Here is a 24,330-nt window from a genome sequence, read left to right on the forward strand (position 1 = left end):
TAACTTTTTGGTCATGGGAGAGCTCTTTCCTCTGCCCTCTCCTTTGCAGTTCCTAGACCAGGTGTGTTAACCTGAATTGTCATGGGAGCCTCTTAATTGGTCCTTTCAGCAAAAACTAAAAGAAAAAACCCACTCATCATGGCAAACATTGTCATATTAGTCTTCCTGGAGAGGCATTTGGATTTATAACTCTCCTCTACCCGGAAAGTGTCCATCATAGCAACATCTTCCAGGGATTCTTAAATATAACGATGCTGTTGACATGTCTGGTTATCCCTTTACCTTTTCAGAATTTGTGGGAGGTGAGAAGTCTGGGAGAGGTTATCTGGGTTATTATGAAACCTACACACTTACTGAATTAAAAAAAAACTATGTAACACAATTCTAGTCTAAAAATGGGCGCACACTTTCTTTGCCTTTTAGAAATACTTTTTGAAATGTAAAATTCGAAGTCTAATAAAGGAGTCTGTCCAATTAATTTAACTGTTTGAAGAAAAAAACCAGTCCAGGCATGGTGGCTTACGCCTGTAATCCCATCACTTTGGGAGGCTGAGGCGAGCAGATCACTTGAAGTCAGGAGTTCGAGACTAGCCTGGCCAACAAAGTTAAACCCTGTCTCTACTAAAAATACAAAAATTAGCTGAGCATGGTGACACATGCCTGCAGTCCCAGCTATTCAGGAGACTGAGGTGGAAGAATTGCTTGAACCCAGGAGGCGGAGGATGCAGTGAGCCAAGATCACACCACTACACTGCAGCCTGGCCAACAGAGCAAGACTCCTTCTCAAAAAAAAAAAAAAAAAGAACAAACCAGCTGGTTGTGGTGGTGGTGGTTGACATCCTCAACAGAACAGCTTTTGCTAATTGTTGAAGTCAGGGAAGACAACTTGTGCTGATGGCAGAGTTCAAGACATTACACAACCAGAGACAATCATAAACCCAGAAATGCCAGCCCTGAGAGATGCAACTGATGTATGACTTTTTTCCTCTCTGGATCAAACCATGACAACCGTAAAAGGCAGGCCTTGCTGTTAAGGCGCTGCAGCCTCTGAAGCACAGTTGGCCTCAGGGAGCTCTGACTCAGTCTACTTATTCTGGGGATCTGAAGAAAGTCAGAAATCATGTGTGGTAGATAGTTTGCATAACTTTGGGATTTTCCAGAGAGAGGATGAAAACGGTGGCCCTCCTTGTAATGTCTAGGCACATGGGACATCCAGTGGAACTGTTGAGGGAGGAGATGGGAGGGAGACCAGTCACCAGACCAGTTGATGTAGGTCTCATAGACTCACCACTCAAGTTGTGCTTCGGAGAAAGCTGCTTCAAATCTTCTTGATACATTTACAAAGATAAATAAATCCAGTGTGCTTCTGCTTGGCATGTTTACTTGGTCCTGTGGTCAGAGTGCTCTGGGGCTTTGACAAATGTGCTAGTCACTTAGCCTATTTTTACAACTCTGAAGCAGCCGTGTCTAAAAATATTTCCTCTCTGGCTGAGCCTGCCTTCCACCAGGCCTAGAAAAGTCATGGAGCTGAGGACATAGCCTTCAAATATTTTTTTTTCCATTGCAGACTGCTTGTCCTCAAGGTCTTACCAGCATGTAGGTCACTGTAATATAAAACATGAGTTCTCAATGGATTGATTTAAATTGTGGTCACTCAAACTGCCAGGAAGAGTCCTCCTCATTTGTTGTAAAAATAACAGATGTCTATGAAAGGAGAAGAAGAAGGCCTTTCTTTTTTTGCAGTTCATTTCTCCACTGCCTTCTCCATCCCAGAAAGTTGGCGGTAACTTGGGTGTTACTGAATTACTCAGGAGAATGAATTGTACTTGTTTCTCTGTAGTTATTTTCTAAATAAGAGGTTACGTTATCAGGAGAGGCCATCAGCTACAGCAGTGGAAAGAGCCACCAGGTCTCATCTTGACTTTACCAACAAATGTCTTTATTCAGTCAACATTCCCTGAGGGCCAGCCACAGCCAGGCAGGGTCTAGGTTCTCAGTGTACAAAGATGAATGACATTTGGTCAGGAGCCTACAGTAGAGGAGTTCAGATTACTATAACACAGTTTGGTAGGTGCTGTGGTACACAGATGCAGGGATGTTACAGGGCATATGGGGGACATCTAGCTTAGGGCTGAGAGGATCTTGGGGAGTAGGCTTACTAACTGGAAATGATTGTTTTGTTTTGTTTTGAGACAGAGTCTCTCTCTATCACCCAGGCTAGAGTGCAGAGGCGTGATCTTGGCTCACTGCAGTGTCCACCTCCCAGGTTCAAGCAATTCTTCTGCCTCAGCCTCCTGAGGAGCTGGCATTGCAGGCGTGCACCACCATGCCTGGCTAATTTTTGTATTTTTAGTAGAGACAGGGTTTCACCATGTTGGTCAGGCTGGTCTCTAACTCCCGACCTCATGATCTGCCCGCCTTAGCCTCCCAAAGTCCTGGGATTGCAAGTGTGAGCTACCGCGCCCGGCTGATTTTTAGGCTTAGTTAATAGGTGAAGTTGGGGAGAAGGTGAGGCCAAGAGAAGGGCTGGAGTTGAGAGGCAGATGTAGGGAGCTACTGGCCTTGTGGTGGTGTTAAGACTGTCATGCATGAGGCAATAGTTGTGTTCTTTTTGTTTTTTTGTTTTTTTTTCTTAGTAATAGCCATCCTAATGGGTATGAGATCAGAGGTTTTTAACATTATACTGTGATGGACATTAGAGATTTCATGAATCTCCTTCATGGTTCCCGAAAGGTTGGTAAAGATTCCTTCTCTGACCTTTGTTGTACATATTGGTCTTCAATATGCATTCTTATGGAAAAAGGTGTTCATGGCTAAAACATTTGAGAGCCGCCACACTGAATGATCTCTGGGTTGTCTTCCTCCTCTCAAAATTGATGATCCTGATTATCTGTAGCTAATAAGCCTGAACAATAAATGCTTTCGCCAATCTCTTAAAGTAGTTGAGAAGCTAGGTGTGTTAGTTTCCCTTCTGTGATAGAGAAGAAACCTGTGTTGGAGAGCAGTGAGCTTATGTGTCTGTGGCCATCTCTGACCTGATTCACACATGTGCCCCTCACAGACAGGCACAGACACAGGGTTGGCATGCCTCTAGCCTTACAGCCTCTTGGATGAAAGGTATAAGACACATTCACATGTTGGAGTGAATTAAGCACACATCCATTTTGAAATCACAGGGCTGGATACCACTTAAAGAATATTGATCTTGCATTGGGCAACGCATAGCAACTGCCCTACATTTCCCCTTTTACCTAGCGTCACAACCACCAGTACTAGAAAGCAGTTAATCTGCTCACCAAAATAACAGAGAGAGACTTTAGTGGCATTTTTTCCACTTGGTAATTGACTAGACTCTGGCTATTAGCTCCTTTTTTTTCCTTACTATCCTTTTCAAACTAATAACGTGACTTCTCATAATTTTAAAGTAACTTGATGCTTACACAAAGTTTATCATAAAGGTTTCTAGCAACAAAACCAGTCATGACTTCTTGAGAACTTATTTCTAAAATAATTTACAAATTGAGACTTATGAAAAAATAGCTCTGTCATTCAAGTGTTCATTTCATGAGTATGAAATATCTCCCTTGTGCTAGACATCAGGCCAGGTAAAAAGTAAGATGTGATTGCTGCTCTTGAGAAACCTACTGTCTAGTGGAAGAAATACAGGTATGAACAACTAATTGTAATGAAGGCACAGACAGCCTACCTGTCATATCTGGGATTTGATCTGAAACAGATGAAAGTTATAATAGTTTACATACCTTACCTTAAAGTATGGTTTTTAAATACTTAAGATGTGATATGACATATAGTGTGTATATATATCTTATGCTAAGGAAAAAGGGACATTAAAAAAGCTTATGTTAAAAGATATATGTATACATTGTACTGCCTGTATGTTTGTGAAATTTGTATTTACTGGAAATTCTCATTGGCCTGTAGATAGGAGTGTTCCTAAGCACCCTATATTGGGATTTGTGGTAACAGCAGCTTGACAACCTGAAGTGGATGATGCAACAGCACTTTTGAAAGGTCTCTCCGTACTATCTTGATTTCATCATCTAAAGTTGGTGTTGGCAAAGAGAAGATAAGTGTTTAGGGTGTTGGATATCCCAGTTACCCTGATTTGATCATTACACATTTTAGGCAGGTATCAAAATGTCACATGTACCCCAAAAGTATGTACAGCTATTACATATCAGTTTTTTAAAGAAGAAAAGGTTGGTATGGTTAGCTTTTCTATTTCAAGTGTATCATTCATCTTTCACATCTGGGATTTCTCCTATGCTCTGGTTGGTTAATAACTTTTATTCTGAAATCGGTGAGATTCTTATGACATGAAATAGTCTATAACCAGTTAAGTTTTTATTTCTCTGTTCTGTTCACATCCTGGGGACTGGGCTGCCATTACATAACTGAGCAGCCATTGGTGGTTCACACCAGCGCCACACCCAGTTATTTTCTTTCAGTATTTGAATTCCTGCACAAAAGATCTGCTGTATCTGCAAATCACTAGAGGCACAAAAGAAGTGATTACCTCTACTAAGGGTTGGGAGAAGTTTCACTAAAGGAGAGATGGTGTCCATGTTAGATTATGAAGGGTAAGTTGAAGTCCATGAAGCAGCAATGAGGGAGCCGGACATGTATGGCAGAGGAAACCACATGAACAAGGGCACAGAGCCATGAGATAGCACAGAGGAGGGAGACGTGTGGTGTGGCTGGGGAAGACTACAGAATCGGGTTACTACCGTCCAAAGCATTTGTTATTTAGCAGTTATTGACCAGCTATCATATTCAAGGCATGTGATAAGTACTAAGGGCTACAAAGACCAAATCAATTTCTGCCATTAAGGGATTTTAAATCTAAGAGCAGAGATTAGACAGAGATCTAAATGACACAGTTTACTTTGGTGTAAAGTAGTACAATAAGAGCAGTAAAAATCTAGTTCTGAGGTTTCAAAATAGAAAGTACATTCATTTGGAAAAAGGCTTCATGGAGAGGGTAGCATTTGAAATGGGCCTGAATAATGGATAGAACATTTCTGGACAGCAGTTAATGGTTGGGATTAAGGAAAAAGTGTTGTCCAGAAAATGGTGACCTACAGAATAGTGGTACCAGTAATGAAGGCCAAGGAGAATTGATTTTAGGGTCAAGGTGATAACTGCAGCTTAGATAGATTATTTTGGTTTCAGGCACAGTTGGAAGTATGAGAACGATTGGAATTTCAGAAGGAAATTATATTGGAAACAGAACCTTGAAGGAAGTCCTTGTTTATAGGCTTAGAAGATCAAGAGAGGTCAATTAATATGGCTAAAAGGAACAGACAGATAAGAAACTGAAGAGTTTCAAAAATGAAACTTTTATTGGCAATGTACAGAGCTGTTGTAGAAGATGAAGCCAAAGAACAGGCATTGACTTTAGCAATTTAGTAGACCATTGATAAGTTACAGTAGTCCCCCCTTACGAGGGGAGGGAGTACATTCCTAGACCCTCAGTGGATGCGTGAAACTGCAGATAGTACCAAATCCTATACATACTATGTCTTTTTGATCTGATAACCCAGTCAACTACCAAGTGACTAATGGATTGGGTAGTATACAGTGTGGATATGCTGGACCAAGGGATGAGTCTCCTCCCAGACAGGACAATTCAAGATTGCATCACACTACTCAGAATGACATGCAATTTAAAACATGCATCATTTATTTCTATAATTTCCCATTTAATATTTTTGGACCATAGTTGACTGTTGGTAACTGAAACTACAGAAAGTAAAACCACAGATAAAGGGGGGACCAACTGTATCTAATTTCATGCAGCAGTGGTGGTGGAAGAAGCTACTCTGATAGGAATGTTTGTGTTCCCTCCAAAATTTATGTCGAAGCTGAATCCCCAGTGCAGCAGTATTAAGAGATAAGGCCTTTAGGAGGTGATTAGGTCATGAGGGTTCTGTATTCATGAACAGCTTAGTGCCATTTAAAGGGGCTTGAGAGACCAACTTTGCCTCTTCTCCCTTCTGCCATATGAGGACACAGTGCTCGTCCCCTCCAGAGCAGGGGTCCCCAACTTCTGGTCCGTGGCCCATTAGGAACCGGGCCACATAGAAGGATGTGAGCAGCTAGCAAGACTTCATTTGTATTTACAGCTGCTCCCCATCACTTGCATTGCTACCTGAGCTCTGCCTCCTGTTGGATCAAGAGTTGCATTAGATTCTCATAGGAGCATGAATCCTATTGTGAACTGTGCATGTGAGGGATCTAGGTTTCGTGTCCTTGTGAGAATCTAATGCCTGATGATCTGTCACTGTCTCCCATTATCCCCACATGGCACCATCTAGATGCAGCAGAACAAGCTCAGAGCTCCCACTAATTCTGTATTGTGGTGAGATGTATAATTATTTCATTATATATTACAATGTAATAATAATAGAAATAAAGTGCACAATCAATGTAATGCACTTGAATCATCCCTAAACCATCCCCTCTTCCCTGCAAGACGGTAGAAAAATTGTCTTCCGTGAAATTGTCTCCCATGTCTTCCTGGTGCCAAAAAAGGTTGGGGACCTTTGCTCCAGAGCATGCAGCAGCAAGGCACCATCTTGGAAGCAGAGAACAGCCCTCACCAGACACTGAACATGCTGATGATCTTGATCTCTGTTGTTTATACATTACCCAGTCTTTGGTATTTTGTTATAGCAGCACTAACAGACTGAAATAAGCCATATTACTAGAGTTTAGGAATTTAATGGCTCAGGAGAAAGTAGAAGCACCAAGTGTAGTGAATAAAATAGCAGCTAACAAGCTTTGTGCACCTTCACATGCCTGGCACTGGTCTAAGCATGTTAAACACATTAACTTCTTTAATCCTCACAACAGTTTTATGAGGTGGGTACCTTTGTTACTAACCTTTATGACAGATCAGGAAACCAAGACATAGAGGCTTCGTAGCTCACCCAAAGTCACACAGTGAGTGAGTGGCTAAATCAGTGTCTTAGTCTTTTTTTTTTTTTTTTTTTGCTGCTATTAACAGAATACCTGAGACTGGGTAATTTATAAAGAACAGAAATTTATTTTCTCATAGTTCTGGAGGCTGGGAAGTCCAAGATCAAGGTACCAGCTTTGGTGTCTGGTGCAGACCTACTCGTTGTGTCTTGCTGGGGGAAGAAGGCTGTCTGCACATGGCAGAAGGTGGAAGAAAGCTAGACGAACTTTCTCCGTCAAGTCCTTTTATAAAAACCTTTAATCCCATTCATGAGGGAGGAGCCCTCATGGCCTAATCTCCTCTTAAAGGCCGCACCTCTCAATACTATCATATTGGCAGTGCCTGACTTTTGAAGAGGACACATTCAAATCATAGCCAGGTTTTAAACCCAGGAACTCCAACTATAGGCTTGTTTCTCCACATATCACCATGCCACCAAGTAATTTAAAGACTTTGGTGGTAAAGCAAAGGCCAGCCTCAGGTGATTAAGGAGGATCCTTTTCTTCCTCCCTTTTTATATGGAGCAGGATCCCAGCCCGTTTGTAAAAAAATAGAAGGACACAGAAGGGAAAACTTGAAAATGAAAACTGAAAAACAAGTCATGAAATCAGAAGATGTGAGATCAAAAGCAAAATAAAATAGTTTACCTTAGAAGGCTGTGCCTGGATCCAACAATAGGCCTCAGACCCTTGCAGAAAGAAGAAGGGGGCAGCCCAGAATTAAAAAAAAAAAAAAACAAAAAAAAAACCCGCAAGCTATTGTGATGTGCCAGGCACCACTGCAGGTTTTTGACTTGTATTAACCCATTTAACCCTCCCAACAACCCTGTTGCCCCTGTTTTATAGATGAGGAGACAGCCTGCTGAGGTTAAGGAATGTTTTCCATCCCCAACTTGGCACACAGGCTCTGGAGTCTGGCCCTTGCCTGTCTCAGTACTGTTTCAGGCTGTTGCCCTCAGACCCCGCCATGCCTTCCAGGGTCAAGAAAGGCATGTGAGCAGGCAGCTTGAGCTCCCTGTCACGTGTAGACAGTGAGAATAATGTGCCTTCCCCAAAGGCAGTTATGAAGATCAGAGGAGATAATTTATGAAAAGTGCAAGCTCTCTTGAGAGTAGGGGATTTTGTTTGTTCACCTTACAAGGCAGGTGTTGAGTCAATAGGCTGCAGTCAGTGAAGGAATGAATGCAGTGGCATGCGCAGCGTGGTGGTCTAAGTGGTAGTTTTGGTCCATCCCTAGGGGAGCACAAGTCTTGGGCAGAGGATCAAAAGCACACACCTCTGAGAAGCCAAGTGTTTTTGTCTGTAACCTTTGATCATTCAAAAGGAAGCATTTTCTAACCTCTGCATTTTTTTACCCAAACTGTACAAAGGCTTCCTTGCTGTCCAAGTTGTGGTATACTCCAGTGCAGCTGCCTGGCTTCCAAGAGAAACTTAGCACTTCTTGTTCTGTTTGTAGCCTCAAATCAACATGTAACCAAAAGCTGTGAATGAATAATCCAAACTTGAAGAACCCCAGATTTTATTCAGGAGGAGTAACTGGAAGCCATAACCATGAACTTCCATATCTGTCATAGGAAAGAGGTTGGCCTCAGCAGCAATGAGGGATAATTCTTTCAAGAAAGGAATGAAGAGAGAAGTTAGATGGAAAAGAGATTTTTAAGGTCAAAAGAAGCAGCTGAAGAACATGTGTAGGACAGCCTTAGGAGTTACTACACTTCAAGACCTGGGTGTCTGCTGGAGGAAGGAACATGACCCTGCGGAGATGTTAAGGGTTGGGAGAGCTGAGCTTGGAGGCTGGAAGCCCAGCTGGGAGGCTATTGTTAAAGAGGTAAGATGACCCTAAACTAGTATTCAGGATGTTATGTGGTACTAAAAGGAATGTTAAACGAAGTGATAATACTGTATTCAGTTTAAATGTTTATTTTATACTGTAACTCACCATATATACCTTCTTTTTTTCTTTCTTTCTTTATTTTCTGTATTGGAAACTCCTAATCAAGATACCTTCTTTCTTAATATTTGATCTTATGGTTACCAAAAAGATTAAATCAAGCCATTGTTTTTCAAACTAGGGTCTTTGGGGATCTAAAACTTACATTAAACAATCTTAAAATTTGCCTTTTTTTGGATGATCCTAGAATTAATACAAGTGTATTCTGGATGATTTGAATGTTTCATCACTAACGAGATCTGAGATATCCATCCCCTTATGTGCATTTGTGTTCATATTATTATTTGTGCCAAGTGAAGCCACAGTGTCTCCTCCAAGGACATTTTGCCGTAAGTTGAAGAAAGAAAAATGGTGGGAGAATGGAGCAATTACAGGCACTTGATAATGTTGGTGTTAGGACTTCGAATGCTAAAGAATGGGGCCTCACAATGGTCAGTACAGTATTTATGTTGTAAATGTGTGTGTTGCCCGGATTCATTCTTTGGAAGAATAATTAGTTATAGGCATAATGGTAACTGTGAATGAATTTTCCTCTTCCAAATATCAAATACAGTCATATGCTCATTTAATCCAGATTTTAATATCATAATTATCTTGTTTCGAAAGAACAAACTGCATAACTAAAGTGATGCTTCATTAAAATTGACATTTGACCTTGGAGAACTGATTAAATAAAATTAAATGAGATAGGATAGGCCTGGTGTCTGGCATTTGGAACGCACTCTGTATGGGAGCTGTTATTAGGGCTGGCAAACCTCAATGGGCTCTGGTTTCAGTTGGTTGTGGAGTCTTTCACGGAATTTCTTCTCTAGGAGATTCAAGATTTTCTCCCAGCATTGTAGCCTGTGGAGAAGAAAGGAGGATCAAAGCTCAAAGGTGGTGGTTAGTCAGCCAGGAGCAGGCAGGTGACCATCAAGGAATCTGTACAGGGGATGGTAGATGCAAGTGTGGCCAGAGGTCAAGGCTAGAAAAGTGCTATTGCAGAGAAAGGGGCTAGAACAAACATAGTCAAGGAAGCAAGTGCAGGGCCTGACCTTCAAGAAAGGAATTAAGCAAGCTTTATGTAGGACTGATGGAGCAAGACCCTGATGTGAAGAGTCCCAGGCAGGAGGCCTGGTGGGGCTTGACCTTTCCTTAGGGAGTGTGTGGGGGAGGAGTCTTCCCAAAAGTGTCTTCAGCATAGCGTCTGGAACTTTCAGAGAGCAACAGGAAGACTTTGGAACTCAATTGGTTTAGAGCTTCTCAGTGGTTTGAGGAGATAGATGGCAACCTAGGAGTGGCTGGTGTAGACAGGGATAGGGATCAGAGCCGACAGGTTATTTTAGGGCAGTGCTCAGTATCTGGGGGTGTTTTTAAAAATAGCAATGACTAGGCACCACCCCAGACTAGAGGAATTAGAATATCTGTAGGTGGGGCCTGGGGTTTGGGCTTTTTAAATATTCCCAGTTGTTTCTAATCTGTGCCAGATCAGAGCACAGATCTTAGAGCAGTGGTTCTGAAACCTTGGTGAGCATCAGAGTCACTTGGAAGGCTTGCTAAACCACAGCTCACTGAGCCCTACCCAGAGTTTGATTCATTGGGTCTGGAGTGGAGTCTGAGAATTTGTATTTCTAACAAGTCCCCAGGTGATTGTTGCTGCTGGTCAATGACCCACACTTTGAGAACCCTTGTCCTAGAACCACAAAAGGGTTAGGGTGTTCTGTGTTGCTTTTGAGTCTGTAATGCTGACATGGAAACTGTCATTTGTCTGGATAGGTGCACTTGTTTATCAGGTAATTTTTGCTATTACTGTGACTTTAATTTGATTGAAGCTGAAGGATTCTTGTTGAGGGTGGTATGTGTTAGTTTCACTTACTAGCCCTGGGGCCTTAGGCACATTATTTAACCTCTCTAAGCCTCAGTTTTCCTCATCTATAAAATGGATTAGGGTTGTTGGATTAATCAGAAATAGTCTTGGAAAACGCAGATTATGAACCCGGCACATAGTAGATGCTCAGTATGTGGCACCTCTTATTTTTGCTGCATTTGGCTTTTTTCTTTTTAAAGGCTTAAGTTTTTGTTTGTTTGTTTGTTTGTTTGTTTTTGAGACAGAGTCTCGCTCTGTCCCTCAGGCTGGAGTGCAGTGGTGCGATCTCGGCTCACTGCAAGCTCCGCCTCCCACATTCACACCATTCTCCTGCCTCAGCCTCCCGAGTAGCTGGGACTACAGGCGCCCGCCACCACGCCCGGCTAATTTTTTGTATTTTTTAATAGAGATGGGGTTTCACCGTGTTAGCCAGGATGGTCTTGATCTCCTGATCTTGTGATCCGCCTGCCTCGGCCTCCCAAAGTACTGGGATTACAGGCATGAGCCACTGTGCCTGGCAAGGCTTAAGTTCTTTCTGAGGGTAGGTAGAGATTGACTTCTGTTGGCTCTCTCAGCCCTTGGAGATCTCATAGAAGAAATAAGACAAGTGTACTAATAATTCAGAAATAAACAATGTGGCCTTCAGGTGGCCTATGGCTGCTCACCCATGCTTAAGAGTACCATAGCCTGTCGAACCAGTCTGGGGATAAAAGTTGTGCAGTTTTTAATGGTCCAAATGAGAGAAAGGAATAGCCTGCCTAATATCTTGAGTCCATCTCTGTTATGGCCCATTTAGACTAACGCACCAGTAGGAGATGAACACCAACTCCATGTGGATAGATTAATCAAAGAACATTGGACCTATAATCCTGTGGATATCTTATTAAGCATCTAATATGTACCAGGCATCAGGTTATATGTTTTTCATGCATTGATTGCTCACTGTGGGTCATGGGTTGGGCACTGGGGTTTGTAAAGATGATTAAGACTTGAAGCTGCCCTTAGAAGTTGCTAACCTTGTGTCTCTAGGGTATGACTGTAAGAAATGATGGCAAGGAACCTTGCACTTTTAGATTGGGTTGATCTCTGCACATGGGTAAAATGAAAATGCTACTATAATTTGAAATCACTTGAAGTTATGCTATAGTGGTAGTTTATTGCAACACAATAAATTGTGACCTGCATCACTGACTTGAATCATTGGCTAGATGGGCCTTGGTCCGTTGCCACTTAGGGGAAAACCTTGGTTTGGATTGATGAGGGTTTTGCTTTTGGGACGTTGTTTTACTTTGCTGCCTGCCCGCAGCCTGTGGAATGTTTCTGCTGATGGGCTGGTTTCCTGCTTGCCTCTGTCCTTGTATCAAGATAATTCATTCCACGTTGCCCCGGTTGCCCAGTCCTGGTTGTCAGACTTTTTGGTCCTGGGAGCGTTTTCATGCCTTGGTTCCCAGACGGTGCTGATGCAGCCTGCAGGTCCACAGGCTCAGACATGAGCCCACTGTGTGCTGCTTTCTCAGGGAGCCATGAGTGCAGTTGAAATAACCTTGCACTTAAAACCTGTCTTACCATTTTGAAAACTGTTCTTTGGAAATCTTGCCTTGGGATTTGAACGTCTTTGCCTTTAGGTTTTGCTCTTTTGTTTCTGTTTCTTTTACTCATTGGTTTTCTGCTTTTGAGTTTTGGTTGCCTTGCTTCAAAAATCTTATATCACGACCATGGTTTGGGACTATTTCTGTCATCTCCTTGTTCTTCTCTGGGCAAGTTCATTCCAGATAACTTGCCCCTCTCCTGCACACTGTTGGTGTCATCGAGGTTCCAAAGCAATGGTTTTGCAGGGGGCTTCTCAGATCCTGAGGGATATCTCAGTTCTGCTGTCCTCTTGCATCATTTATGATTATATTAGGTCATGCCTGTCCTCTTGCTTCTGGCCTGAACTAATTCACTTACACGTGCCTATAAGGTGATCGAGGTGACCCAATGATCTTCTTTTAGCCACAATACCTATTCCATGATCCTTGCTGAAGCTATTGCCAGACAGTGATGAAATAGGGATTGATTTGTCACTCACTGTGACTAAGCTAAGCTGGCTGTGTGTGAGCTTGGGCAGTTTCACTAAACATTCCCCTTACCCTAGGATTCCTCCCTCAGCCAGGGTGGCATGGTGAAGGCAGGGAATTGCCCATCCTAAATTAGCTGATCCCAAAGACTTCATTTTCTTGGGAGTCTTGTCACCAAATAGCCCTTGGGGACAGGAGTCTTTTTGCCACCATTATTAGAGTTTAAATTCTTACCTATTACTGATTTAAGGGCTGTAGAAGAGAGAAGGGCCAAGAGGCCAAGCTGTACAAGGGGCTCCAGCTCCAAGGAGAAAAGGATGGTGGCTGGGGAGTGGGTGCTCTGGGAACAGCCTGCTGAGCACTTTGAAATATGGCTAGTGCCACTGAGGAACTGAATATTTAATTTTACTTAATTCCAATTAATTTAAATAGCCACATGTAGCTAGTGGCCCCTGAATGGAACAGTGCAGTGTTAAAATCAGTACAGAGAAGTATTTAGAGCTTGGCCTTCAGGGCTTTGATTCAGATTCCGGCTCTGCTGTCTACCCATTGAGTGACCATAGGGACACTTCTTAACCTTCTACAGTTGTTTCAAGAATTTGTTGTATTCAATATAAAGGGTTTAGAACAGTGCCTGGCAAGAAGTGTGTGTTTAGTTAATGTTGACTTATCATATGTTCACTCGGTATTTTGAATGGAATGGTAGTAGAATTCATGTGGAATATGAAATGCCACTGTTTTTTGGGGTGGGGTGTGTGCGCGTGCGTGTTATGTTTTCTTTCTTTTAAAAAGAAATTGTTCTTTTGTTGCTCTAGGTTGCTGCAGCAACTGGTCACACAGTAGTGTTGGTAGACCAGACAGAGGACATCCTGGCAAAATCCAAAAAGGGAATTGAGGAAAGCCTTAGGAAAGTGGCAAAGAAGAAGTTTGCAGAAAACCTTAAGGTAATTTCTTATTATCGATGTCTTCAAGACAAGTCCTCTGACTGCTTTACATTTGCAGGGCAATGGGGGATTTCTGGCTTTCTTTCTTTCTTTTTTTTTTTTTTTTTCAGTTTGTTAGTGTAAAACTCATTTTTCCATAACTTTAAACCAATATAATAACATAATTACTAAACATTCAGGGGGTACTGATTACAAAACAGGAGAAGTAAATAACCATTTTGTTGGGTGGGATTTGAGGTTGAGAAGAAAGCTTGTACATACAGGTGGTGAACTCATTCTAGAAGAACATGAGAATTTGGAATTGAAGAACACTTGTTTTGCTAAAAGGATGGAAGAAGAAGAAACAGGAAGATAATTTTTATACTACAAGTTAAGAAGAGAATGATATAATAAATATGGTATTTATAGAAACTAAGAGTGAATCATTCTACTTGCCAGGAGCAGAAGAGATAGAAGAATTTGAGGAACTCTGTGGAGGCTGGGAATACAACAGCATGGTGGGATGAGAAGGAGTTGGTGACTAAGGGCCATGCTGTTTTTCAGCGCACTTTCACTTAGGAGTTTGCATTTAATTAGAAATACAGCACAAATCACCCAAACAAATTTTAATTTACCTTTTGTCATCTTGTTAAAGTTGCTTAAGATTGATTTCCTTGGGGCTTGGATAGAATTTCTCGCTGTATGCAGCCAGAGAAAAGTACACATAAGGCATTTGTTGTTTCTCACTTCAAGTATCCAAGGTGGTATATCTAGATGCTTTTAAAAATTTTTTTATTATGGTAGAATATATAACATAAAATTTGCCATTTTAAACTATACAATTCAGTAGCATTAATTACACTCGCACATTCATACTTCATGTAAGTGGAATCATACAATATTTGTCCTGTGTCTAGCTTATTTCACTTAGCATAAAGTTTTCAAGGTTCATCTATGTTGTAACATGTGTCACAACTTCATTCTTTTTTTTTTTTTTTTTTTCTGAGACAGAGTCTCACTCTGTCACCAGGCTGGAGTGCAGTGGCACAATCTCAGCTCACCGCAACCTCCACCTCCTGGGTTCAAGCAGTTCTCCTTCAGCCTCCCAAGTAGCTGGGATTACAGGCGCACGCCACCACGTCCAGCTAATTTTTGTAGTTTTAGTAGAGATGGGGTTTCACCATGTTGGCCAGGATGGTTTCAATCTCTTGACCTTGTTATCCACCCACCTCGGTCTCCCAAAGTGCTGGGATTACAGGTGTGAGCCACCACTCCCGGCCAACTTCATTCCTTTTTATGGCTTAATATTCCACTGGATTATTATCATATTCCAATTTAATATTCCATTGGATTTATACCACTTTTTTTTAACCCATTGTATTAGTCTGTTCTCATGACATTGCTAATGAAGACATGCCTGAGACTGGGTAATTTATAAAGGAAAGAGGTTTAATTGACTCATAGCTCCACATGGCTGGGAAGGCCTTACAATCATGGTAGAAGGCGAAGGAAGAACAAAGTCATGTCTTACATGGCAGCAGGCAAGAGGGAGAGCATGTGCAGGGGAACTGTCCTTTATAAATTACCCCCCACTGGGCCCCTCCCACAACACGTGGGGATTATTACAATTCAGGGTGAGATCTGGGTGGGGACACAGAGCCAAACCATATCACTCATTCATCTGTTAATGGAATTGGGTTGTTTTCACCTTTTGGCTATTTTGAATAATGCTGCAGTGAACATTGGTATGCTATTGGTTTGGAGTCTCTGTTTTCAATTCTTTGGGTTATATACCTACAAGTAGAATTGCTGGGTTGTATGGTAATCCTATATTTAGCTTTCTGAGGAACCACCAAATTGTTTTCTGTAGTGACTGCACTATTTTACATTCCCACCAGCAATGTACGAAGGTTCCAATTTCCCCACATCCTGGCCAACACTTGCTATTTTCCATGTTTGTTTTGTTTTGTTTCTTATTGTAGCCATCTTAGGTGTGAAGTAGTATCTCATTGTGGTGTTTTTGTTTTTTGTTTTTTTGTTTTGGAAATGAGGTCTTGCTCTGCTACCCAGGCTGGAGAGCAGTGGCATGATCATAGTTCACTATAGCCTTGAACTCCTAGGCTCAAGCCATTCTCTCACCTCAGCCTCCCGAGTAGCTAGGACTATAGATGTGAGCCACCACACCCAGCTAATTAAAAAAAAAATTTTTTTTTAGAGACAGAGTTGTACTGTGTTGCCCAGGCTGCTCTCAAACTCCTGGCCTCAAGTGATCCTCCCACCTTGGCCACTCAAAGTGCTGGGATTACAAGCATAAGCCACCGAGTCCTGCTATCATTGTGGTTTTGATATGCATTTTTTCCCCAATGTCTAGGTGGCCTTTAGATGATGGTGGAGATAATTTTACCTTCTCTAGGATGAAATTCAAATAATAAATGTCACAGGCAGATTAATGTTAGAAATGCTTGTTCTTTGGTGCTGTAAAGAAATAGCACTTGAAATAAATTTAATTTCCTCAGCAAGACCATTTTTACTTTCTGCAGAAAGGGTACACTCGCCAGCATTTTTGCCACAAGAGTACACCGAACAAAGGAGACAGGGTCATTTATAACCTGACACGTCCATCTTACTGCTGTGTCCGGTTTCTATTGGCTGGGACGGGACTTCACATTCAAATGTATTTGTCTTGATTGGCTAGCAACTTAGAACTTTTTGAAAGAGGCAAAGGCAGATGAGAACAAAGGAAGGAGGAAGTAACTTGTGGAATGCTGAGAAAGGTAAAAACACCTCTAAATAAGGAAGAGGAACAGGCTATGACCTAATGCCCACTTGGACCAGTATAAGCATGCCAGGGCAAATATTTAGGCTAAATTGTGGGAGCTAAGAACATAAAGTACATTGATTTCTTTATTACAGCTAGCAGATATTGAAGAATGTTAACAGGTCTTAGAATAAATTTTGCTTCTAAGAAAAGTTACTATTTATTCTTAATTAGATGGGGAGGAGAGTCTCTTTGAAGAGGAACTTCTACTTTACTTTTTACATTAAGATATTCTTCACCTGTCCCTTATATTCTTTTTTGTTGAGACGGAGGAGTCTTGCTCTGTAGCCAAGGCTGGAGTGCAGTTGCGCGATGTCGGCTCACTGCAAGCTCCACCTCCCGGGTTCACGCCATTCTCCTGCCTCAGCCTTTTGAGTAGCTGGGACTGCAGGCGCCCGCTACCACGCCCAGCAAATTTTTGTATTTTTAGTGGAGACGGGGTTTCACCATGTTATCCCGGATGGTCTCGATCTCCTAACCTCGTGATCCGCCTGCCTCGGCCTCCCGAAGTGCTGGGATTACAGGTGTGAGCCACTGCGCCCGGACCATCTGTCCCTTATATTCTTAATTGTAGTGGGACCCCATGCAGGGGATGTTATGAGGAGGGTCCAGACAGATGAGATTATAAGAGCCCTGGGCTGAGGGTTGGAGTCTAGGACAGAGTGAGTTTGACCCAGATAGCCTGCATTTTCTGCTTGTTTACAGACTTTCAGCTAATTGTCTCCTTGGGCTGAGTTTCTGAGCCACACCCTAAAGATAAAAGGATGGCCCCTATGCTCAAGTTGCTCAGCTCTGGCTAGCTACTCCTCAGAAGTCTATACTCCTGAGGTTTCTCTCCTCTGCCAGGGACACCACTGAGGAGGGAGGTGTCAGTTTCTCTGCCTAGTTGACATACTATGCTTATCTAGCTCTATACTGACCACCAATATAATAGCTACTCACAAGTGGCTACTGAGTGCTTGAAATGTGGCTAGTCTAGATAGAAATGTGCTCTGAGTGTAAAATAGACACTAGATTTTAAAGCTATAATAGGGGAAAAATATATAAAACATCTCAATATTTTTAAATATTGAGTACCTGTTAAAGTGATGGCATCTTAGATATATTGGGTTAAATAACATTAATTTCACCTGCGAATGTCTTTTCCCTTTTTTTAATGTGGCTAGTAGAATATTTCTGTATAACAGCTGAGATCTAGCTGCTTATTCCATGATGATTTTGGATGCCTTTGCTGATTATGACTATTTTGATGCCCTGTGGACAAATTACACTATGAAATAAAATGGCGGCTTATAGAGGCACCATCTCCAATTCTGTCCTTATTGAGGTCTGTGGAAACCTGGAGTCACAGGAGAAAAATGAGGAAACGATGAAAACTACAGGCTCTTTGGCAGCAGAGGCTGTGTCTAGCTTGTTTCGGAAACAACAGTTTCAGGCATATGACAGACAATAATTATTTGATAAATGCTAAGTCGGCTTTCTTACCCTGGCTCTTGCCCTTGCTCTAATAGGAGCTAGTCTCTGCTTTTATTAGAGAGGAATAGTCAGCACCACCTCAAGACTAATGGATGGCAGGGAGCTATGGAAGGATAAATTACAGGCTTCGTGGACACTTTGAGAACAGATAGGGTAGGCCAATACAGGTGCTCTGAACACCCAGTTTGCTAACTGGAGCAGAGCTAAGAACTTGAAAGATAATTTCCAGTGAGCCCGGTGAATGTTCTCTTCTTCCTCCCACTGCATTAGGCCGGCGATGAATTTGTGGAGAAGACCCTGAGCACCATAGCGACCAGCACGGATGCAGCCTCCGTTGTCCACAGCACAGACTTGGTGGTGGAAGCCATCGTGGAGAATCTGAAGGTGAAAAACGAGCTCTTCAAAAGGCTGGACAAGTTTGCTGCTGAGTATGTAACCTCTGGACAATCTTCTTTTTTTTTTTTTTTAACCTTATTTTTGTTTTTCATTTTTATTTTTTGTTTTTATAGATTTGTGAGTACAAGTGCAGTTTTGTTCCATGCCTATATTGTGTAGTGGTGAAGTCTGGGCTTTTAGTATACCCATCACCCACATAGTGAACACTGTACCCAATAGGTAATTTTTCAACCCTCGCCACCCTCCCACCTTTTGAACTCTCCAGTGTCTGTTATTTCCCTCTGTACATCCATGGGTACCTGTTATTTAGCTATCACTTATATGTGAGAACATATGGTATTTGACTGAGTTGTTTCACTTAAGATAATGGCCTTCACTCCTGTTCATGTTGCTTCAAAAGACATGATTTTATTCTTTTTTATAGCTGAGTAGTATTCCATGGTGTATATATGCCACATTTTCTTTAATCAGCCATTGATGGACACTTAGGTTGATTTCGTGTCTTTGCTATTGTGAATAGTGCTGCAATAAACATATGAGTGCAGGTATCTTTTTGATAGAATGAGTTTTTTTCCTTTGAATATATACCCAATAGTGGGGCTGCTGGATCGCATGGTAGTTCTGTTTTTAGTTTTTTGAGAAATCTCCATACTGTTTTCCTTAAAGGTTGTACTAATTTACATTGCCACCACCAGCATGCAGGGGTTCCCTTTCTCCAGATTCTCACCAACATCTGTTGGTTTTGACTTTTTAATAAAAGCCATTCTGACTGGTATCAGGTGCTAAACTCATTGTGGTTTTAATTTCCATTTCTCTGTTGATTAGTGATGCTGAGCATTTTCTCATATGTTTATTGACCACTAGTGTGTCTTTTTTTGAAAAATATCTGTTCATGACCCCTGGACATTCTTGACAGATTCTGAGGGGTCCCTCCCTGGGCCTTGAACTTTCCTCCTTGTTTATTGCCTTCTCCCAGGAAGGGATCCTTTGACCAAGTTTATCCACCTCCCTCTCTCCTACCCCACAGCTATTTCAAGAAAAGCCAATATGGTTTCCGTTGTTCTCCATCCTCCCACTCCCAGTTTGCTTCTGAAGCTTGGGCTGCTGTGATCTGATCCTTGTCCCAGATGCGTGTAGAATTACCCATGGTAACATGGAGGGGTCCATCCAGGGACAGGCCTATGTTTCTTGAAGTGTGTAGGTCATGGATACTCCTATGCCAGAAGCTGCTCTGACGTTCCTTGGTTCATTTCACACTGGCATCTAGAGGCTGCAGAGACATCTGACAGCAGACAGTTAAGGACATGTAGGGTACTTCTGTGCTCCACTCTCGGGCATAGGAGTACCCTACGTGTCCTTAACTGTCTGCCAAGGACCCTCAGAGCAGTTCTGTGTTTCCTCCTTTTTTGGATGGAGCAAACAGAATGGTGTAATTGAAGGGAATGCCTATAGACAGAGAGGACTTTCCTGTTTTGAGCTTCATCTGGGTTCAATCGAAGTACTCTTGGGAGTGTTAAAGGAGCATTGACTTCTTAGCTGGCTGGCTTCCTGGTGGAATTCTTCCTGGCAGAATGTACCTTGGGATCCAGAGCCTTCGAGTGTGTGACACCTGACCCACTGATCAGTGCTCTTCTAGTGACTTGTTTGACTATATTTTCATGCTTCTTGGTTGGAATTGAATGGCAGAATAAGATTATATGACAAAAGCAATTCTCAGGGCACTTCCGGTGGGCAGTGGCTAAAGAGAGTCACTTGCATACCAGCTTGTCGGAATGTTAACCTTCAGAGATGGGTGGCCTTGTGGCCAGAGAGGCCCTGCCCCTGACAAAGAGAAGAGACTTGCCTTTCTGTCATCTGTCCATCACTGCCAATCAGTGTCCTCGTGCATTTCACACTGGCATCTAGAGGCTACAGAGACATCTGACAAAAACAGAATATACTTGTGGTACCGGGACTGGCTCCCAGGCCAGCAGGGAGCCCTCTGGGATAATAAACAGCCACCCCAAAAAAGGGAGTTTTGTCAAGCAGTTTGATCTTTATTGAAAAGATTGGTCGCTCTTGGTGACAGTGAAAGGCCTGACTGCCCTCCATTGTCCATGTCTGGTACAGAAGAAGGATCACTGGAGAAAGTCAGGAGGCCTGGGCCTGGTGCTGACCCCCTCACCACCTCCAGCCTTGGAAAGGTCCTCAGTTTCGTCATCTGTAATGCAAGTTGAGGTGATTGGGGTAAATAATTTCCTAGACCTTTCTGGCTCTAACTCTCTAAGACTAGCTTCCCCCATTTGTAAAATAGGAGCAGCAGCACTGGTACCTATTGTACAGAGTTGTTTAGGAAACTCATTTCATTTAGCTCACATTTCCTGAGTGCCTGCTGTGTATCAGGCACTACACTAGGCTCTTTAACCTGAATTGATGCAAAACAGATATGAGGTGTGAAAAGAAGGCATGACCCATAGTCATACCAAAGATGTGACTTTGCTGCTGACCTTCTCCACCTTTCTTGGCACTGTTTGTTTTTGTTTTAGATCACCACCATTATTGAATGCTTGCTACAATTTTTAAGCAGCCGTATTGAGAGGTACTTTACTGACAAATTTTACAGTTCGATCCTATAATGGGAGAAGAAAATATAGTCAAGTGATACATTTCGGGTTGGAAGCCCTGATGAAACAGTTGCATCCTGGAGAGAACATGACTTCTCTAGCAGCAGCCTAAGACACACAAATGAAAAGTATGACCAGACGCACAGGCAGCCAGATCGAAGTCCTGACTTTCCCCTTTAGACAAAGTACAGACTCTTGAATCCTTTGCCATCCCCACCAACCCTCTTGTCTTCTTTATACTAGGGTCTGGGGCCATTGCTAATAATCACTGTGCTTGTGTTGTCGATTTTCTTTTAGAACATTTAAGAGAAAAGTAGTTTTTTTGGTACCTGAGTGTCCGAATGAAAAAAACAAAAGATGGTTCAAGACAAGTGTTTCCAGGAACATGTAAGAGTACTTTTTTTTTTTTTTTGAGACGGAGTCTCGCTCTGTCGCCCAGGCTGGAGTGCAGTGGCATGATCTTAAGCTCACTGAAACCTCTGCCCCCCAGGTTCAAGCAATTCTCCTGCCTCAGCCTCCCTAGTGGCTGGGATTACAGGCATGCGCTACCATGCCCAGCTAATTTTTGTATTTTTAGTAGAGACGGGGCATGTTGGCCAGGCTCGTCTCGAACTCCTGACTTCAAGTGATCCACCTGCCTCGGCCTCCTAAAGTGCTGGTATTACAAGTGTGAGCCACCGTGCCCAGCCCAGAGTACATTTTGTTTGTGGATGAAAAGACTGTCCTATGTGTTTAGTATTCTCTGAAGACAGTGTGAGACTTTTAGGAACAAAGTCAGCCTGACCCTGTTGGGAGAGGCAGAAGCAGAGGTCTGCTGGGGAGAGATCATTTCCTCCTTCTGATAAAATGTGCCAGAGTGCCCTGGACTGGTGATACCTGGAACTGGGCTCTGATGTCACTTTATTTTACCAAATGTGCCCAAGTTTCCCCTTTTTGCAGGTGAATGGCCCTTCAAACATTCTACAAAAAGGGGTATTACGATTGTAATACTAATCTTTAAAATAACACTTTCTTTTCTTAACGGGAGTGTGGAGCCACAGCTGGCACAGCCTTGGGCCCAGGCTGTCCCTGCTCTGTTTTTGTGGTTCCAGGTGCTTGTGGTGCAGGTTGTGTGGTTGAACAGTGCTTGTGTTGGCCACACACATTGTTATTGGAAGAGGATCTTTTTTTCATTACCTTCTGTAATGGGGAATAGTTTATATTATTTTCCCCAATGACCAAAAGCAAGAAACTTTGAAAACTGAAATTTTAAGACCTTAAAACAATGTCATTTTTTTTTTAAAAAGGAAACCCTGGCATTTAAATGGCCTACCTTGGAAGCTGTTGGAGAAGGTGGATGTGCTCATACCTGGAAAGAGAAGGCTCTCCGCTGCCTACCCACACTGGTCTCGCCTTTTACCTCTTTTCCCTCCTTTCCAAATAACTGGTTTCTTCTCCCTTCTCTTCCTCCTCTCCTCCCACCCGCCCCTGATTTGAGCAGATTATAGTATTGCCTGTTAGGTAAGCAGAAACCCCCAAGCCTGGTCAGTAAGGGATCCTTTCCTTTCCTGCCCTGTTACAGTCCATCTTGGTTGGAATCAGCACCAGGCCTGTTTGTATGTTTTTATCCGCAAGGTGGCGCTGCAGGAAAGCCTGGAAGTCAACCTGTTTAAAGCTTTTCCTCTCATGCTTTTGGCACGCCACTTTACTGTGGCCTTAAAGAACTAAATTTGGTTTAAGTCAGTATGGATTTTTTTTAATGAATAAGTTAATGTCTTATATATGCATATGCCTATATCCTCTTTTCCCCATATCTACCCATGTAACCTTAAAATTTTTTTGAACCATGTTGGTGTTCTTGTTTTCATTTTAATTCCCATTCAATTGAAAAATAAAGCTTTTCACTTCAGGGAAAATATCTTAATTCACGTTTATTATCATATGTTTCTGATTGAGGATTTATGTGTTCATTTAGAATTTTGTTGCTTTTAGGTGTCTTTCTTTCATTATTTTTTGATCACTGAGTTTCGTTTGTGACTGGGGTTGGTTAAGTAGCTTGATCAATTAGCCACCTCTTGTTATCTCACATACCTTGGAAGTTAACTAATACAAGTAGGTAGGGGAAATTTTGTTCTGGAAAATCAAGGAAGGATTGGTGAAGGTTAAATACCTCTTCGGAACAGGAAATTCCAATTTTATTTCAAATTTAAAAATTTTTAAAAAGCTGAAGTCACTTGATTTCAGCCTCTTATATGAAGATGTGTCTTCTCCCTCATTCCCCCAATGGGTCAGGACAACAGATGTGGCAGTAAGCAGTCACCTTGTGCATTGCATCCAAGAGTCATGCTGTTTTGAAAGAAGAGATTCACTCTGATACTCCCACTATATTTTCTCTTCACAGACATACAATCTTTGCCAGCAACACTTCCTCCTTGCAGATTACAAGCATAGCTAATGCCACCACCAGACAAGACCGATTCGCTGGCCTCCATTTCTTCAACCCAGTGCCTGTCATGAAACTTGTGGAGGTCAGTGGGTGTCAGCTTGTGTGTGTCTGCCCGCTCTGCCAGCTCTCTCAGTCCTGCTTTTCTGTGTTACACCAGCCCTGCCACCAGTTGCCTAGGATGGGTTTTAACCTGAGGGTAGAAGGTTGTCCCTGAGCCTCATATCTAGGAGGGCTTCTATGCTTTGTTTCTTCACAGCCCTGTGTCTTGCTTAGTGATATCCAGAAAGGCTGTTAACTTTGTGGAATGTCATTTACTTATTTGTGCCAGAGCTGATGGGCAGTGCTGAGAGGCATCAGAATGGGAAGGCAGCACTAGAAACCGTGGGCTGGATGGGACCACACAGAGGGCAGCTACATGTGTTCATATTATCTCGTCGAGGTCAGCTTGCCCATGCTGTAAATGCAGTTCTCATTAGATACACTATACTAGCTTGTCCACAGTTCCTGGGGTTAATTCTGACCCCATGTAATGGTGCCTTAGCGTTGTCCCCAGATGAGGTACATCTCCTGTGCATTGTGATCAGAGCTATTAAAACCAGCTCCCATTGGGTGCGGCGGCTCATGCCTGTAATCCTAGAACTTTTGGAGGTGGAAGTTAGTGGATTGCTTGAGACCCAGGGGTTCAAGAACAGCCTAGGCAACATGGCAAGACCCCATTTCTACAAAAAATAAAAAATCAGCCAGGGGTTTTGGTGCACGCATGTAGTCTCCAGTACTTGGAAGGCTGAAGTGGGAGGATTGATTGAGCCTGGGAGGTTGAGGCTGCAGTGAGCTGTGATTGCACCACTGCACTC

At 42.5% G+C, this 24,330-nt stretch overlaps 1 protein-coding gene across 4 annotated transcripts in view; it reads left to right on the plus strand.

Moving 5' to 3' along the window:
- Positions 1–24,330, plus strand: part of HADH (hydroxyacyl-CoA dehydrogenase) — a 45,283-nt gene that overhangs the window by 6,220 nt on the left and 14,733 nt on the right. For 3 of the 4 annotated variants that reach the window (XR_007096395.1, NM_001184705.4, NM_005327.7), the window contains exons 2-4: positions 13,651–13,779; positions 18,323–18,480; positions 23,432–23,558. Coding sequence is in view for 3 of the 4 variants with exons in the window: in NM_001184705.4 (NP_001171634.3) it covers positions 13,651–13,779; positions 18,323–18,480; positions 23,432–23,558 (414 nt within the window). In the remaining variant the exon portion in view is untranslated. Of the gene's footprint in view, positions 1–8,502; positions 8,810–13,650; positions 13,780–18,322; positions 18,481–23,431; positions 23,559–24,330 lie in introns of those variants that run through there. The other variant, NM_001331027.2, reaches the window with a different exon arrangement.

This window comes from Homo sapiens, chromosome 4 (genome assembly GCF_000001405.40).
Source record: "Homo sapiens chromosome 4, GRCh38.p14 Primary Assembly".
NCBI lineage: Eukaryota > Metazoa > Chordata > Mammalia > Primates > Hominidae > Homo > Homo sapiens.